The 19,639-nt window shown below is 41.8% G+C and overlaps 1 protein-coding gene across 4 annotated transcripts in view; it reads left to right on the top strand.

Moving 5' to 3' along the window:
* Positions 1-19,639, top strand: part of DSCAM (DS cell adhesion molecule) — an 836,160-nt gene that overhangs the window by 719,002 nt on the left and 97,519 nt on the right. For all 4 annotated transcript variants that reach the window (NR_073202.3, NM_001271534.3, NM_001389.5 and 1 more), the window contains one exon: positions 3,829-3,962. Coding sequence is in view for 3 of the 4 variants with exons in the window: in NM_001271534.3 (NP_001258463.1) it covers positions 3,829-3,962 (134 nt within the window). In the remaining variant the exon portion in view is untranslated. The remainder of the gene's footprint in view (positions 1-3,828; positions 3,963-19,639) is intronic.

The following is a 19,639-nucleotide window of genomic DNA, read 5'->3' as shown; positions in this document are numbered from 1 at the left end:
TGGGGGAGACAGACGTTGATAGATCACCCCTGAGTGGACTGTGTCAAGTGCAATGATGAAGAAGAGTCTCAACAGAGACATGGGAGCCCTGACCTGACCTAAGCTGGTGATCAGGGAAGACTTCCTGGAGGAAATGACGTGTGCTAGAACCTGAGAGATGAGTAAGAGTTGCCAGGAAGAAGGCAGAGGGTGGGAAAAACTCCAGACAGAGGCATCCCAAGGCCCTGGATCATGGCATCCCAAGGGCCCGGGGTGGGAGAAGCAAACCACGTTCAGGGAACTGAAACAGAGCTCAGTGTTGGGGAGCACCATCAGATCAGGGGGAGAGCCCAACTGCTGACCTGTCCTGTCCATGTGGACCTCCAAAGGGCCCATCAAGTGACAGCAGGAAGAGAATTCCAGGTCCTGGTTCTTGCAACTGAGAAGATGATGGGGCCATTTCCTGAGATGGGGCAAGAGAAGCACAGGTTTGGATAGAAGATGGTGAGTGCTGTTGTGACTATGTCGGTCTAAGGTGCCCGTGTGAAACATCTCAGCCAATTGGACACATGAGACACAGAAGCATCTGCAGCTCAGAAGGGATGTCCAGGTGCATTGGAGGAATGTAGAAGAGAGGATTCTCTGAAGGCCACATTCTTTACTGCAATCAATTAAACTTAAATGCAGAACTCCTCTCTATGATGCCCAGGAATTCATGAAAACTTCCCAAGTTTGTTTTGACCTTCATAAGAAAAACTCAGATTACCAAAATGGAATGTGGTCACTAAGAATGTTTCAAGAAAATATGTCCCAGACAGACATATACCGTTTTTTACTCCATCCTATGCCATCTCTGTCTTCTGCAACTCTCAGTGTCTGGTGTTTGTCATTCACCACTGAGTCACAAAGTAAAGGCTAGTATCATTTAGTGACATATAATCCAAGGACATAAGGATGGTTATTAGAGATGATAGCTAGAACTTATTTGGTGCTTACTGTACAGAGAACAATAAATAAATGATTTACATGAATTATCTCTTATAATTCTAACAGTAAAAACATAAGCCAGCACAGTTATTATTGTAGATTTATAAATGAGGGAACTAAAGATTATTAGAGAAGTTAATCAGCTTGTCCAGGACGTGGAACTAAGTGCTAGAGCCGCATGAAACCAGCAGTGAGGCTCCAGGGCCCACACCTTTAAGCTTTATGATGTTGTCCAAACCAGAACTAAAATGTTAAGTTCTAGCTCTGAAAAGATTAGCTCAGTCATCCAGAAAACCTTCCAAAATGCCGTGTTCTTCAACTTATCTATGTTGTTATTTTATTGTACAAAGTTCTAGTAACCATACAAGGAAAGACTGTGTAAGATAGATCATAAATCCATGCAGGAGGAGCCAACTGCGAGTTTAGATGGTGCAGTAAAAGTCCCTTGATCGGCTGTGACACAGGCATGCTCACGGAAATCATCACTTAAAACAAGGAATCACCAAACTTTGCAGTGGCCAGGAAGTACCTGAAATGTTGCATTTTAACTTAAAACATATAAATATGTATTTATTCCCTAATCATTCTCTAATCACATGACTTAGGATCACTTCTTGAAGTTTTGGGTGAAAAGATTGGAGCTCTGTGCCATCTTTTACTCCATGAACTGCATTTAATGTGTAGCATCTGCATTTTTCAACTGGTGTCTCAAGTAAGAGCATGTGACCATTTACCAACGATCTGTTTGCAAATTGGGACAAATCCACATGTCCCATTCTTCTCAGTGGTCCTGACCAAACATAGATCGGCCTTCTTCTTTCTTTCCTTTCTTCTTTCCTTCTTTTCTTCTTTCTTTTCTTTTTTATCCTTCTTTCCTTTTGTCTTCCCTTCTTCCTTCCCTCCTTCCTTCCTTCCTTTCTTTTTTCTTCCCTCTTTCCTTTCTTCCTTCCTTCCCTCCTTCATTCCTTTTGTTCTTCCCTCCTTCATTTCTTTCTCTTTTTAATTTCTTTTCTAACTTACCTCTAAGGAAGGCTTTCCAAAGTAGTCCCATTAACTGTCATAGAAACAGCTTTCTCTTGCACTTGAATTTCATTGGTTTACGTAATTAATTAACTTACAGTACTACCCATGACACGTACAATTGTCACAAACAGGTTGGAAACAAATACAACTGACTCCTCTTCAGCAGCCATTCAACTGGTTGGTGCTAAACTACTTGGCCTCCTAAAGAGAAGCTGTCCAGCAAGAATGTTCACTGTGGTGAACACCAACCAGGGGCTTTATGGAAAGGACTGAGAGTGTTGGCTAAGCTGGGGTGTCTACTAGGATTAAAATCCCCAGGAAACGTTCACTCTGCCCTTGTTGTTCAGGAGGAACCCTGGCAGCTCTGAACTAGGTTGTGGATGTCTTAGACATTACCCTCACCTGATAGAGGTTTGTTCTCAAGGGATTTTTTAACCCAGGATCTATCATTTATGTGTGTTACCTTTTCTAGACCTTCCACTGTTAGCAAGACTTGCCAAAAATGGATTACCAAGATTTTATATTTTCAAATGGTGACTATGTCCAACCCAAGTTAGTTCTCACCAGAGCTCTTGGTTTTGTTATGCAGACTTAGAAGAGTCAAGGTGACGATTATGAGAAGCACATTCAACTCCAAAACAATTTACTGAGCAGTTGCATTGCCATCAAAGCAGTAAAAGACTCACAGATTTCTCCAGGGGCTTGCAAGGGACTTCTATTGGTTTGAATTTCAATGTCTCCATCAATGTGGTTGCCCTCCATATGGACAGTGAGGTTAATGAGAAACAAAGCAAGAGCTCTGATGCCTTCCTCACTGGCACCTTTGACATTTTGGCATCTTCTTGTCTTGGCCATCTCACCCGCCCTCACCTCTTCAACCTGGAAAATAAAAGAACAAGAGGAGTGGGACATGCCTTCAATCTCACTCCCAAATCATGCTTAGTATTGCTGCCACCATGTTCTGCCTTCTTAGCTGGTTTACAGAGGAGAGTTTGTCTTACATGGATACTGTGAATCTTTGACCCAATAATCCCTATTCATCAACAATATTTCCATACCTCTCCTGAGCCCAAAGTGGTGCCATTACAAAATGACTAGGGTGAGGGAGGGTGGGGTCTCTGATGGCTGAGGTAGTTCACCCTCATGCTTCTCAAATTCAGGATCCAAAAGGTTCATCCCCAGTACATTCAAAGCCAAAAACTGCAGCAGAAATGAGACTGATCCAGAAGTTAATTCTCCAGTTATCCAGAGGCAGGAAGTTGCCAGGGGCTGAAATGGGTTGGGAAGACTCCCCAGGACAAGAGGGACTAGAACTGACTGTATTAGGTCCTAGAGCTACAAAGGACCACAGACTCCAACATTAGGAATTTATTTGCTGTCTCTGAGTTCTGGAGGCCAGAAGTCCAAAATCAAGGTGTCTGCAGGGCTGGTTCTCTTTAAGAGCTTTGAGACAAGCATCTGTCCTGGGCTTCTCTCCTTGGCTTATAGATGCCCTCTTCTCCCTGTGTCTTCACATCATCTTCCCTCTATACATGTCTGTCTCTGTGTCCAAACTGGCCCTTTTTATAAGGACACCAGAAGTACTGGATTAGGGACCACCCTAACAAACTCATTTTAACTTGATTACCTCTGTAAAGACCCTACCTCCAATTACAGTGTCATTCTGTGGTCCTGGGGGTTAGGACTTCAACATATGCATTTGGGGGGACACAGCGGAACCCATAACGCTCATCCTGAAAGAGCTGAACAGTAAGTGCGGAGTGGGGTCATGTTGGGAAGCGTGGGTCCGCAAGCCCAAGTTGAGGCCCCACCTTGTGACTAAACACACGGCTCTTCCAGTTCCAGGTCCTCCCGCGGGTGTGAAGGCAGCGGCGGCCTCAGCCTCCATGGTCTTTGTGTCCTGGCTTCCCCCTCTCAAGCTGAACGGCATCATCCGAAAGTACACTGTATTCTGCTCCCACCCCTATCCCACAGTAAGTTGGTAAATAACCAAGTGCCTTTCAAGCGTCTGCCAGGGACGAGCTGCAGGTGCTCGCACTGGACAGTTTCGTTCCTTTGTTTCCCACCTACCTGGGTCTTTCCAGTGGTTTTGTTTTGCCCCTGCTGTCTCCACATACAAAACAAAGTCCTCATTTACACCTCATTTGAAAATACGCTCCTGAATCATGACAAGGGGGACAATTGTCTGGAATTATTGTTTATTTGGTGAGTTCCCACTAAACTGCCAGCAGCCTGATCAAAATCAAAACCCAGAGGCCTTGATTGTGCCTTAATTGATAGTCAGTGGACAACACCTATTGATTTTACTGTTGGACTCATCATGATAAGCACTTCACGCCTTCCCTCCCTCCCTTCTCCCTCCCTCCCTCCTTCCCTCCCTCCTTCCTTCCCTCCCACCCTATCCCTCCCTTCTTTCCCTCCTCCATCTCTCACAGGGAAAAGAATAGCAGGCAAAACCCTATTGTGCTAGAAATGAGGGACTTTAATGAAGATCTATTACCCTTACAGTTACAGCAGTCAGCCTGGTTCATTGTGAAGGAACTAAAAGTTATTTACTATTTCAAAGTGTGGTTTTTGTTATCGTTCATATTATTCCTGCTGAATAATCATTATAAAGTTAGACTGCTTCTGAGACCACACCAAAACATATCAAAAAGGGAAATTTTAAAGAAAAGAAAACATTAAAATGACCCACCAAAATTGACGATGTCTTCATGGAAACATTATGACATTTTCTGCAGCAGGTGCCATGTCTCTTCCATCTTTGTATCTCCAGCTCCCAGCATAGAACTTGACACATGTAGTCATTCACTAAGCGTTTGTTGAGTGAATATACACACTGGTTTTGTTTCCTTTCTGGTAAAATACACATAACGTAAAACTTACCCTCTTGACCACTTTGATTATTGAGTTCATCAGTATTACATACCTTCACGTTGTTGTGAAGCCATCACCACCATCCATCTCCAGAACTCTACAAAACCGAAACTCTGTCCCCATTAAACACGAATTCCCTATCCTCCCTCCCACCAGCCCATGGCACCCACCATTCTACTTTCTGTCTCTGGATTTGACTCCTCTAGGGACCTCATGCATGTGGAATGATATAGCATTTGTCATTTAGTGACCAGCTCGTTTCACTTGACATGATATCCTCAAGGTTCATCCATGTTGTAGCATGCGATGGAATCTCCTTCCTTGTTAGGGCTGAAAAATATTCCCAAACAAATTTATGGATTAATCTTTTAATCAAGGTGATATGTTTGCCCAAGCTCAGAGTCCACAGGTGCCCCTGAGGCCTGGTGTACCCCAACAGTGAGTGTGTGAGAGTGTGTGGGCTTGCTTGGCCCATGAAGTTCCGTCTGTTGCTGAAAAAGCAAGGTGTGTTCTCTACTGCTTATGCATTCATGGCAGTACTCTGCCCTTGAAGTCAATATGTAAACGTAAATAGTCAGAGTTAGACTCCACAACATTTTTCTGGGCTTCTTATGTGGTTTTCAATATGCTGTTAATCCTCACTTACTGAATCCTACTATCAAAGCCCAGAGATGGAGAGCAGCGTAGACACTGAAAAAAAGCTGAGCCATTGTGCCCTCAATGCCCAGGGTGGCTTCTGCTTTTCTGCTTATCACTGACATGTCCCGTATTCACCAAAGAGAGACAAAAATTATTGCTGAAATAAAGTATACTCATTTTCCACTAGAACTTGAATTGCATCTGTATTAGTATTCACTCATTCATTCATTGATCTCTTTGCTATGGGATTCACGGTTGCTCTTTTGACTCTAACAGGCTAGAAAGCACCTAGCAGGGTATAGAAAGACCAGCAGCTTCCTCTCGTTTTGTCTTCTCAATCATCTTATCTTTATCTCTGCACTAAAAATCCCTACCTGGCTTACTTGAAATGAGTCCTTAGTGACTGATGCTTACTGAGAAAGCCCCTATTTGTGGATGATACAGGCTGTATTTGGCTCTGTCCTCCTGGCCTAAGAATTACATACAATAGAAAAGGAAGAAAAAACATCCTATCCTGAAAACAAAGTCACACAGGTGTTGTTAGATGGGGTAGAAACGCATTTCCCCAGGATTTCTCCTGTCTCTTCACCCACAGAACAATGGGATTTGACCTGCCCAGGATCTTAACAACACACTCTCAAAAGGGACAGTAATGAGGGCCAGCAAGGCACGGTGGCTCACGCCTGTAATCCCAGCACTTTGGGAAGCCAAGGCAGGAGGATCACTTGAGGCCAGGAGTTTGAGACCAGCCTGGCCAACGTATGAAACTCCGCCTCTACAAAAAATACAAAAATTAGCCAGGTGTGGTGGTACATGCCTGTAATCTCAGGTACTTGGGAGGAGCTGAGGCAGGAGAAACTCTTGAACCTGGGAGGTGGAGGTTGCCGTGAGCCAAAATGTCACCACTGCACTCCAGCCTGGGCAACAGAGCAAGACTCTGTCTCAAAAAAAAAAAAAAAAAAAAAAAAAAGACAGTAATGAGAGCAAACCCACCAGAAAAAGGTGGGAAATAACAGCTGAGATTTTTATCAGGGTATCTCTGTGTTGCCTTTTGACCATATTAAAAAGACTAGAGACATAGAAATATGATGGGCAGGTGCCTGTGTTCTTCCAGGAGATAATACCTAGAAAGTGTTACAAGGAGGTCCCAGAACCCCAGAGCATCTTAATTGAAGTGAAGTGAACTAAAAACAGTTCCCTCTCCATATCCACCTTCCTGTCTATCTATCTCAACCATCATTTAAGAGCACGAGACCTATTTTTTACATCAAATAGTATCAGTGAGAGTCAAGCTCAGAGACAATTATTTCTCTTCAGAGGTGAATACTTGTAAATAGTATCCATTATTCTGTTTTAAATATGAAATGATCAAGAAACTTTAAAGTACAGGAAAGAGGGTGTTTTTTTGTTTTGTTTTGTTTTCATCAGTTTCTGCAATTTGACTTTCAGTCGGTAAACTAGATGCTGTCAAGTTTTCCAAGGCATTTGCATTTCTGGCTATGTGTGCGAATGACCACCAGAGGACAGTATGAGCTCTAGATATTTTCCTTGCTCATAAATCTGAATTTTTTTTTCTTTGAAATGATTTCATAGTTAAATGTAGAACATAGGGGGATAAATCAGGACACAATATGCCTTGTAATTTGGTCCCTTTTATAAGAGTCCCTCAGCTAACCTCCTCGCTGATGTCATTTTCTCTCAAGATCCCAAATTCATCTCCCCTTCTTGGGAAAGAACCCTGTTAAAATAGACAAGCTTTTTTCTCTAATATGTGACATATAATGTCTGCTGATAGGCATTTATTTCATGGTGCTCTCTCAGTTTAGCTTAGAAAAAGACATTAGAATTTGAAACTTGCATGTGGCCAGATGACAAGTTAGGGTAACTGAGAATGAATCTACAAACAGGTTGTCTAAAGATGATGTGGACTGAACATGAACTTTCCCTCGGGGGTCCAACAGTGCAATGAGATATTAAACTCCCCAATCAGAGATTCAAACTGCAAAATCTCAAAAGTCATTTGATTCAGAGCCTCATCCACATAATTTGTGGATTCTGGCTATTAATTTTAATATATAGTGGTTTGAATGATCAAACAATCTATTATAAGCAATGAAAATCCAAAGACGTGAGATAACCCTTTTAAGGTCCCAGGAAGAAAACAGCCAAGCTTCATTTCCTCCCCAACGCTCCCGTCTACATAAAAGCAGTCTGAAAAACTTTCACAAACAGACTGCTTTTACTATATACACATTAAATAAGCATTATGATATAGACATTGTCTGTTTCACAATGCTAATCTCATTTGCGGAGCTTAGAAATGTAAAATTAGGAAGCACAGACTTCTCATTAATGAAAACTAAAAATCAGAAGGCATAAAATATCTCTGAGCTGTGATTCACATTGGTTATTCCAGCTTCAGATGATAATGTTATTCAGTTCCTGTACATAGTAGGTGCTCAATAAATGTTGCTGAGTTAATCAGTGAGAATACACCACTACTCTTCTTACCCAGAAGACCTGGGCAATTAAGTTCTCCACATTGTAGCCCATAACTTAGAATTAAACAAGTCTTCTGGGAGGCAAAGTAACTCACCAGGTCCAGACAGCTTCCCACCCCAGGCAACAGGTGTGTGTTTGCCTCCCAATCAGCCACAGACTGCATCAAATAAAGCCATAGTCAGGCTGAGAGCGAAAGGGGACTTCCGAGAACCAGAAATGTGCAGGAATCTCAAGGAGTGGAAAAGTGGTATAACGTGGAATCTGGAAAGCAGCATCTAACGTGCTCATCTGTATCTACAATGATACTCATCGCTGTGTTCATTCTTCCTCTCTCACACGGAACACGGACCTCCTGGCTGTATTAAAACGTCGTTCCTCCCTCCCAGTACCCTCCCTATTTCATGTCACTGTAGCATATAGTGACGCTACTAGATAGCAATTTGCTTTTAAAATCCTCCTTCTCTTAGCTTCCATTATCATGTTTTTTATTCTTTGTTGCTTCTTGTCCCTCTGCTTCCCACCCTTAAATGTAGGCATTTCCCAATATTCTTCCTTTATCTCTTAATATTCTTCACTATCTCTGTGGATCATTGAATCTGTTCTTATAATGTAACTATCATCTGAAATTAAAGAGTTCGCATTTTTTATCTCTATCCTGACAATCTTAGAGAACCGTCAGTCCTATATTTCCAGCTTACCACCATCTGCGTACTCAGGAAGACCTCTCCAGTACTTCGCATTCAATGTGCCCACAAACACATTTATACTTGTGTCTCCCTCTTTTCCTGTGTTCTGATTTAGCTTACGATCTAACAAAATCTGCTGCCTTCTGACCAGAAGCCTTCAAGCTACCTATAGTTCCTCTCCTAATCATTTATTCATTTTTACCACAAATAAACATAGAGCACTACTCTTACACCAAGCTCTGAGCCAGGTTCTGAATCACATCAATCAAGAGATGCTGAGTTAGGGGGCATCACAAACAGGCCTGAAACCTCAGTGATTTACAACAACCATACAACAACCAATGGTTTTATTTTTCTTTCACGATCATGCTCATTGTGAGTATGTGGTAGTACATGCCATGCTATCTTCACTCCAGGAAGGACCCAGGCAGGTTTCATGACAAAGAGAAAGAAATCTCTGAGGCGCTGACATAGGCAGGTAAACGCTCCAAGCACAAATCACGAGCCAGAATCTGTCATAAGATTCTGGTCCATGTCTTAACCACAAAGGGACCATGACGTACGCTCCAAACCCATACCCAGAAGTTCCAGGGAAGGCAGGAAACACTAGACAATGTCACCCTTCTGTGTGATGTGACAGAGGACACAGCAATGATGTGCACAGCACAGTGCAGGAGCGCGGACTGGGTGTCACTCAAACATACGGCCAGAGATGGTTGCTTGGAACACATAGCTAGCCCTGGCTTGCAGGAAGAGAAGAATTTTACCTGATGAATCAGAGGCAGGAAAGGGTAATATGATCAGAGGAAATAAATGAGCAAAGTGACATCATGTCACAAGAGCTCTCTGCAATGTCTTTTTTGTTGTTTGTTTGTTTTGAGACGGAGTTTCACTCTGTCGCCAGGCTATAGTGCAGTGGCGCAATCTCGGCTCACTGCAACCTCCACCTCCCAGGTTCAAACGATTCTCCTGCCTCAGCCTCCTGAGTAGCTGGGATTACAGGCACCCGCCACCCCACCAGGCTAATTTCTGTGGTTTTAGTGGAGATGGGGTTTTCACCATGTTGGCCAGGCTGCTCTCAAACTTCTGACCTCAAGTGATCGGCCTGCCTCGGCCTCCCAATGCAATGTCTTCTTAATCTCCTTCCTTTCACACCCAATGCCATTGCCTTGCTTCAGGTCCTCCCCTGGAGAATCAAAACCAAGTCAGAAGCCTTCCCACTGCCAGGCTCAACTCCCAGTCTGTTGTCCACATCCCTGTCACAATTCCTTTTTCCAATTCTGAATCTGAGCATGTTATTTCCTAGTGCAAATTTATTGGATGACTTCGCAGTTTTTACCTAAAGACATTCAAAATTCTCAATATGACCTAGATAGATTTCCACAATCCAGCTGCATCTCCTGTCTAGTTTCATATTCTAAAAACCTTCTTCCATCCAATATCTAAGTAATACCATGTCTCATATGTGTCTGCATTTGTGCACGTGTGTGTATGTGTGTGTGTGTGTGTGTGTGTACACGTATTGGGTTTTTCTTACCTTTTCCATTCCATCCTCTTTGGTAAAAATGTTTATTGTTTAAAGCTCAACTTAAATGCTGTATTTTTATTTCACCACTTTTTATCACTGGCTACACATTAGGCACCGAGTGCCAAAAGCTTTATACCTATGGTTTTTGAACTTGCCCTATGGTGACCCACGATAGAAAATATAAGTTATAATCACGCCACGAAAGTACTCGCACACCACAAACTTACATTTACTACACGTGATGCCCTCCGATATTTTCTGTTCCATTTGACTTTTTTTCTATTCTATTTCATTTTGTTTTTAAAGTGATTGTCATGTTCCATTAAATTCCTCCTATGACTCACATTTTTAAAAATACTGTTTTGCATCAGTTAATTCTGGTGACTACCTTACGCAGGAGGTGTTATGATTGTTATCTTCACTCAGTGATACTGAAATGAAGACTCTGCAATCTGGCCAGGGTCACGCAGGTTAGCAAAGGAAGATGGGATCTGCAACCCACAGCGGGCTGAGCTCTTTGTCCTCATGCTTACCTGCCTTCCCTGGGATCCCAGTTCCATCCTGCCCCAGTACTCCCAGCACTGACTTTCAACCTCACTTTGACATAACCACAATCTCTTGCGTTATTGTTAGACATGGGCATAGACTGGCAAACCTGGTATTGTGCTGAAATAGTGGATGTTCCTCAAATGTGTGTTGAATTAAATTTTATAGATGATGACTGTGAGTCATCTAAAAGAGGTTAAATTGTGTAATGAAGCTGTAGCTTAATAAGGCAAGAAATTGTGTTATGTACTTTGGGATGCTTTGTATCCCAGAAGGATTTGGATCAAGTGCCTGTGCTTTTAAATCACTTACATAGAAATCATTCTTCCATCATTTTATTTAAATGACTTAAGGATGAATCTTTTTTTTTTTTTTTTTTTTTTTTTTTGAGACAGAGTCTCACTCTGTCACCCAGGCTGGAGTGCAATGGTGCGATCTCGGCTCACTGCAAACTCTGCCTCCCGGGTTCATGCTATTCTCCTGCCTCGGCCTCCCAAGTAGCTGGGACTACAGGCGCCCGCCACCATGCCTGGCTAATGTTTTGTATTTTTAGTAGAGATGAGGTTTCACTGTGTTAGCCAGGATGGTCTCGATCTCCTGACCTCATGATCCGCCCGCCTCGGCCTCCCAAAGTGCTGGGATTACAGGCGTGAGCCACCGCGCCCGGTCGAATCTCTCTCTTTTTTTTTTTTTAATAATGGAAAATCTGAAAATTATGGAGATACCACAAGTTGGCCTAAAAATAGACAATTGTATTCCATTTACGCACATGTAATGAATCATATACATGAGACCTTTGTGCAGTGCTTCTACATGGCAGGCAGATGCTAGGCTCTCTATGTTCTTGGATCAACCAAGGATTACTGTAGCCCCAGCATCCTGTCATGGAATCATACGGCTGGAAAAAACCTCGAAGGGTTTCTTTGAGGCAAGGCTACATCTAAATATCCCAGACATGTGAAAATCAATTCTGGTTTTATAAAATTTCTTGGGAAGTCTATTCCTGAAGCTTTCTTGGAAATATCTTTTTATTTCACGGCTAGTTCTAATGGAATGCAGTTCGTTATTTTTTCACTTTTAAGTTCAGGGGTAACGTGCAGATTTCTTATATAGGTAAACTTGTGTCACAAAAGTTTGTTTTACAGATTATTTCATCACCCAAGTATTAATCCTAATACCCATTAGTAGTTTTTCCTGATCCTCCCCCTCCTCTCACCCTCCACCCTCTGAAAGGTGTGTGTTGTTGTTGTGTTGTGTGTTGTTCCCCTCTATGTGTGTGTATGTTCTCATAATTTAGCTACCACATACAAGTGAGAACATGTGGTATTTGTTTTTCTATTTCCATGTTAGTTTGCTAAGAATAATGGCATCCAGCTCCATCCATCTCTGCAAAGGACATGATCTTGTTCTTTTTCATGGCTGCATAGTATTCTATGGTGTATATTTATCACATTTTCTTTATCTAGTCTATCATTGATGGGCATTTAGATTGATTTCACATCTTTGCTATTGTGAATAGAGCTGCAATGAATATATGTGTGCATGTGTCTTTATAACATAATGATTTCTATTCCTTTGGGTATATACCCAGTAATGGGATTGCCAGGTCAAATGGTATTTCTGTCATTAGGTCTTTGAGGAGTTGCCACACTGTCTTCCACAATGCCTGAACTAATTTATACTCCCATCAACAGTGTATGAGCATCCCTTTTTCTCCACAACCTCACCAGCATCTGTTATTTTTTGGCTTTCTAATAATAGTCATTCTGCCTGGTGTGAGATGATATCTCATCGTGGTTTTGATTTGCATTTCTTTTTTTTTATTATTATACTGTAAGTTTTAGGGTACATGTGCACAACGTGCAGGTTTGTTACATATGTATACATGTGCCATGTTGGTGTGCTGCACCCATTAACTAGTCATTTAACATTAGGTATATCTCCTAATGCTATTCCTCCCCCGTCCCCGCACCCCACAACAGGCTCCAGTGTGTGATGTTCCCCTTCCTGTGTCCATGTGTTCTCATTGTTCAATTCCCACCTATGAGTGAGAACTTGCGGCGTTTGGTTTTTTCTCCTTGCGATAGTTTGCTCAGAATGATGGTTTCCAGCTTCTTCCATGTCCCTACAAAGGACATGAACTCATCCTTTTTTATGGCTGCATAGTGTTCCGTGGTGTATATGTGCCACATTTTCTTAATCCAGTCTATCATTGCTGGACATTTAGGTTGGTTCCAAGTCTTTGCTATTGTGAATAGTGCCACAGTAAACATACGTGTGCATGTGTCTTTATAGCAGCATGTTTTATAATCCTTTGGGTATATACCCAGTAATAGGATGGCTGGGTCAAATGGTATTTCTAGTTCTAGATCCCCAAGGAATCGCCACACTGACTTCCACAATGGTTGAACTAGTTTACAGTCCCACCAACAGTGTAAAAGTGTTCCTATTTCTCCACATCCTCTCCAACACCTGTTGTTTCCTGACTTTTTAATGATAGCCATTCTAACTGGTGTGAGATGGTATCTCATTGTGGTTTTGATTTGCATTTCTCTAACAGCCAGTGATGATGAGCATTTTGTCATGTGTCTTTTGGCTGCATAAATGTCTTCTTTTGAGAAGTGTCTGTTCGTATCCTTCACCCACTTTTTGATGGGGTTGTTTGTTTTTTTCTTGTAAATTTGTTTGAGTTCATTGTAGATTCTGGATATTAGCCCTTTGTCAGATGAGTAGATTGCAAAAATTTTCTCCCATTCTGTAGGTTGCCTGTTCACGCTGATGGTAGTCTCTTTTGCTGTGCAGAAGCTCTTTAGTTTAATTAGATCCCATTTGTCAATTTTGGCTTTTGTTGCCATTGCTTTTGGTGTTTTAGACATGAAGTCCTTGCCCATGCCTATGTCCTGAATGGTATTGCCTAGGTTTTCTTCTAGGGTTTTTATGGTTTTAGATCTAACATTTAAGTCTTTAATCCATCTTGAATTAATTTTTGTATAAGGTGTAAGGAAGGGATCCAGTTTCAGCTTTCTACATATGGCTAGCCAGTTTTCCCAGCACCATATATTAAATAGGGAATCCTTTCCCCATTGCTTGTTTTTCTCAGGTTTGTCAAAGATCAGATAGTTGTAGATATGGAGCATTATTTCTGAGGGCTCTGTTCTGTTCCATTGGTCTATATCTCTGTTTTGGTACCAGTACCATGCTGTTTTGGTTACTGTAGCCTTGTAGTATAGTTTGAAGTCAGGTAGCGTGATGCCTCCAGCTTTGTTCTTTTGGCTTAGGATTGACTTGGCGATGCGGGCTCTTTTTTGGTTCCATATGAACTTTAAAGTAGTTTTTTCCAATTCTATGAAGAAAGTCATTGGTAGCTTGATGGGGATGGCATTGAATCTATAAATTACCTTGGGCAGTATGGCCATTTTCACAATATTGATTCTTCCTACCCATGAGCATGGAATGTTCTTCCATTTGTTTGTATCCTCTTTTATTTCGTTGAGCAGTGGTTTGTAGTTCTCCTTGAAGAGGTCCTTCACATCCCTTGTAAGTTGGATTCCTAGGTATTTTATTCTCTTTGAAGCAGTTGTAAATGGGAGTTCAGTCATGATTTGGCTCTCTGTTTGTCTGTTATTGGTATATAAGAATGCTTGTGATTTTTGCACATTGATTTTGTATCCTGAGACTTTGCTGAAATTGCTTATCAGCTTAAGGAGATTTTGGGCTGAGACGATGGGGTTTTCTAGATATACAATCATGTCATCTGCAAACAGGGACAATTTGACTTCCTCTTTTCCTACTTGAATACCCTTTATTTCCTTCTCCTGCCTGAATGCCCTGGCCAGAACTTCCAACACTATGTTGAATAGGAGTGGTGAGAGAGGGCATCCCTGTCTTGTGCCAGTTTTCAAGGGAATGCTTCCAGTTTTTGCCCATTCAGTATGATATTGGCTGTGGGTTTGTCATAGATAGTTCTTATTATTTTGAGATACGTCCCATCAATACCTAATTTATTGAGAGTTTTTAGCATGAAGGGTTGTTGAATTTTGTCAAAGGCCTTTTCTGCATCTATTGAGATAATCATGTGGTTTTTGTCTTTGGTTCTGTTTATATGCTGGATTACGTTTATTGATTTGCGTATGCTGAACCAGCCTTGCATCCCAGGGATGAAGCCCACTTGATCATGGTGGATAAGCTTTTTGAAGTGCTTATTCGGTTTGCCAGTATTTTACTGAGGATTTTTGCATCGATGTTCATCAGGGATATAGGTCTAAAATTCCCTTTTTTTGTTGTGTCTCTGCCAGGCTTTGGTATCAGGATGATGCTGGCCTCATAAAATGAGTTAGGGAGGATTTCCTCTTTTTCTATTGATTGGAATAGTTTCAGAAGGAATGGTACCAGCTCCTCCTTGTACCTCTGGTAGAATTTGGCTGTGAATCCATCTGGTCCTGGACTTTTTTTGGTTGGTAAGCTATTAATTATTACCTCAATTTCAGAGCCTCTTATTGGTCTATTCAGAGATTCAACTTCTTTCTGGTTTAGTCTTGGGAGGGTGTATTTGTCAAGGAATTTTACCATTTCTTCTAGATTTTCTAGTTTATTTGCATAGAGGTGTGTATAGTATTCTCTGATGGTAGTTTGTATTTCTGTGGGATTGGTGGTGATATCCCCTTTATCATTTGTATTGGGTGTATTTGATTCTTCTCTCTTTTCTTCTTTATTAGTCTTGCTAGCGGTCTATCAATTTTGTTGATCTTTTCAAAAAACCACCTCCTGGATTCATTGATTTTTTCAAGGGTTTTTTGTTTCTCTATTTCATTCAGTTCTGCTCTGATCTTAGCTATTTCTTGCCTTCTGCTAGCTTTTGAATGTGTTTGCTCTTGCTTCTCTAGTTCTTTTAATTGTGATGTTAGGGTGTCAATTTTAGATCTTTCCTGCTTTCTCTTGTGGGCATTTAGTGCTATAAATTTCCTTCTACATACTGTCTTAAATGTGTCCCAGAGATTCTGGTATGTTGTGTCTTTGTTCTCATTGGTTTCAAGGAACATCTTTATTTCTGCCTTCATTTCGTTATGTACCCAGTAGTCATTCAGGAGCAGGTTGTTCAGTTTCCATGTAGTTAAGCGATTTTGAGTGAGATTCTTAATCCTGAGTTCTAGTTTGATTGACCTGTGGTCTGAGAGACAGTTTGTTATAATTTCTGTTCTTTTACATTTGCTGAGGAGAGCTTTACTTCCAAGTATGTGGTCAATTTTGGAATACGTGTGGTGTGGTGCTGAAAAAAATGTGTATTCTGTTGATTTGGGGTGGAGAGTTCTGTAGATGTCTATTAGGTCCGCTTGGTGCAGAGCTGAGTTCACTTCCTGGATATCCTTGTTAACTTTCTGTCTCGTTGATCTGTCTAATGTTGACAGTAGGGTGTTAAAGTCTCCCATTATTATTGTGTGGGAGTCTAAGTCTCTTTGTAGGTCTCTAAGGACTTGCTTTATGAATCTGAGTGCTCCTGTATTGGGTGCATATATATTTAGGATAGTTAGCTCTTCTTGTTGAATTGATCCCTTTACCATTATGTAATGGCCTTCTTTGTCTCTTTTGATCTTTGTTGGTTTCAAGTCTGTTTTATCAGAGACTGGGATTGCAACCCCTGCCTTTTTTTGTTTTCTATTTGCTTGGTAGATCTTCCTCCAACCCTTTATTTTGAGCCTATATGTGTCTCTGCATGTGAGATGGGTTTCCTGAATACAGCACACTGATGGGTCTTGACTCTTTATCCAATTTGCCAGTCAGTGTCTTTTAATTGGAGCATTTAGTCCATTTACATGTAAAGTTAATATTGTTATGTGTGAATTTGATCCTGTCATCATGATGTTAGCTGGTTATTTTGCTCGTTAGTTGATGCAGTTTCTTCCTAGCCTCGACAGTCTTTACAATTTGGCATGTTTTTGCAGTGACTGGTACTGGTTGTTCCTTTCCATGTTTAGTGCTTCCTTTAGGAGCTCTTTTAGGGCCGGCCTGGTGGTGACAAAATCTCTCAGCATTTGCTTGTCTGTAAAGTATTTTATTTCTCCTTCACTTATGAAGCTTAGTTTGGCTGGATATGAAATTCTGGGTTGAAAATTCTTTTCTTTAAGAATGTTGAATATTGGCCCCCACTCTCTTCTGGCTTGTAGAGTTTCTGCTGAGAGATCAGCTCTTAGTCTGATAGGCTTTCCTTTGTGGGTAACCCAACCTTTCTCTCTGGCTGCCCTTAACATTTTTTCCTTCATTTCAACTTTGGTGAATCTGACAATTATGTGTCTTGGAGTTGCTCTTCTCAAGGAGTATCTTTATGGTGTTCTCTGTATTTCCTGAATTTGAATGTTGGCCTGCCTTGCTAGATTGGGGAAATTCTCCTGGATAATATCCTGCAGAGTGTTTTCCAACTTGGTTCCATTCTCTCTGTCACTTTCAGGCACACCAATCAGATGTAGATTTGGTCTTTTCACATAGTCCCATATTTCTTGGAGGCTTTGTTCATTTCTTTTTATTCTTTTTTCTCTAAACTTCTCTTCTCACTTCATTTCATTCATTTGATCTTCCATCACTGATACCCTTTCTTCCAGTTGATTGAATCAGCTACTGAGGCTTGTGCATTCGTCACGTAGTTCTCATGCTGTGGTTTTCAGCTCCATCAGGTCCTTTAAGGACTTCTCTGCATTGGTTATTCTAGTTAGCCATTCGTCTAATTTTTTTCAAGGTTTTTAACTTCTTTGCCATGGGTTCAAACTTCCTCCTTTAGCTCTGAGTCGTTTGATCATCTGAAGCCTTCTTCTCTCAACTCATCAAAATCATCTTCCATCCAGCTTTGTTCTGTTGCTGGTGAGGAGCTACGTTCCTTTGGAGGAGGAGAGGCATTCTGATTTTTAGAGTTTCCAGTTCTTCTGCTCTGTTTTTTCCCCATCTTTGTGGTTTTATCTACCTTTGGTCTTTGATGATGGTGACGTACAGATGGGGTTTTGGTGTGGATGTCCTTTCTGTTTGTTAGTTTTCCTTCTGACAGTCAGGACCCTCAGGTGAAGGTCTGTTGGAGTTTGCTGGAGGTCCTCTCCAGACCCTGTTTGCCTGGGTATCAGCAGCGGAGGCTGCAGAACAGTGGATATTGGTGAACAGCAAATGTTGCTGCCTGATCTTTCCTGTGGAAATTTTGTCTCAGAGGAGTACCTGGCCGTGTGAGGTGTCAGTCTGCCCCACTGGTGGGTGCCTCCCAGTTAGGCTACTCGGGGGTCAGGGACCCACTTGAGGAGGCAGTCTGTCTGTTCTCAGATCTCCAGCTGCATGCTAGGGGAACCACTACTCTCTTCAAAGCTGTCAGACAGTGACATTTAAGTGTTCAGAGGTTTCTGCTGCCTTTTGTTTGGCTATGCCCTGCCCCCAGAGGTGGAGTCTACAGAGGCAGGCAGGCCTCCTTGAGCTGCGGTGGGCTCCACCCAGTTTGAGCTTCCCGGCCACTTTGTTTACCTACTCAAGCCTCCGCAATGGTGGGCGCCCCTCCCCCAGCTTCACTGCCACCTTGCAGTTTGATCTCAGACTGCTGTGCTAGCAATGAGTGAGGCTCTGTGGGCATAGGACCCTCCAAGCAAGGCACAGGATATAATCTCCTGGTGTGCCGTTTGCTAAGACCATCGGAAAAGTGCAGTATTAGGGTGGGAGTGACCCGATTTTCCAGGTGCCGTCTGTCACCCCTTTCTTTAACTAGGAAAGGGAATCCCCTGAACCCTTGTGCTTCCTGGGTGAGGCGATGCCTCGCCCTGCTTTGCCTCATGCTCGGTGCGCTGCACCCGCTGTCCTGCGTCCACTGTCCGACACTCCCCAGTGAGATGAACCCGGTACCTCAGTTGGAAATGCAGAAATCACCCATCTTCTGCGTCGCTCACACTGGGAGCTGTAGACTGGAGCTGTTCCTATTCCGCCATCTTGGCTCCACACCACTGATTTGCATTTCTCTAATGATCAGTGATGTTGAGCTTTTCCTATGCTTGTTGGCTGCATGTAGGTTCTCTTTTGAAAAGTGTCTATTCATGTCCTCTGCCCACGTTTTATCGGATTGTTTATTTTTTTCTTGTAAATTTGTTTACGTTTCTTATAAAGGCTGAATATTAGACCTTTGTCAGATGCATAGTTTGCAAAAATTTTCTCCCATTCTGTCAGCTGTTTACTCTGTTGATAATTTCTTTTGCTGCACAGAAGCTCTTTCATTTACTTGATCCCATTTGTCCATTTTTGTTGTTGTTGCGAATTGCTTTTGGTGTCTTCATCATGAAATCTTTGCCCATGCCTATGTCCTGAATAGTATTGCCTAGGCTGTCTTCCAGAGTGTTTTTAGCTTTAGGTTTTACATTTACATTTTTTAATCCATCTTGAGTTGATTTTTGTATATCGTGTAAGGAAGGGAGCCAGCTTCAATCTTCTGCATATGGCTAGCTAGTTATCCCAGCACCATTTATTGAATAGGGAGTCCTTTCCCCATTGCTTGTTTTTGTCAGGTTTGTTGAAGATTAGATAGTTGTAGATGTGCAGTCTTATTTCTGGGTTCTTTATTCTGTTCCATTGGTCTATGTGTCTGTTCTTGTACCAGAACCATGCTGTTTTGGTTACTGTAGCCCTGTAGTATAGTTTGAAGTCCAGTAGCATGATGCTTCTAGCTTTGTTCTTTTTGCTTAGGATTGCCTTGGCTGTTTGGGCTCTTTTTGGTTCCAACTGAATTTTTAAAATAGTTTTTTCTAGTTCTGTGAAGAATCTTAATGGTAGTTTAATGAGAATAGCATGAATCTATAAGTTGCGTGGGTAGTATAGCCATTTTCAGATATTGATTCTTCCTATTCATGAGCATGAAATGTTTTTC

The sequence above is a fragment of the Homo sapiens genome, chromosome 21 (genome assembly GCF_000001405.40).
Source record: "Homo sapiens chromosome 21, GRCh38.p14 Primary Assembly".
NCBI lineage: Eukaryota > Metazoa > Chordata > Mammalia > Primates > Hominidae > Homo > Homo sapiens.
Note: the sequence above shows the minus strand (reverse complement) of the source record. Positions and strands in the feature narration are given on the sequence as shown.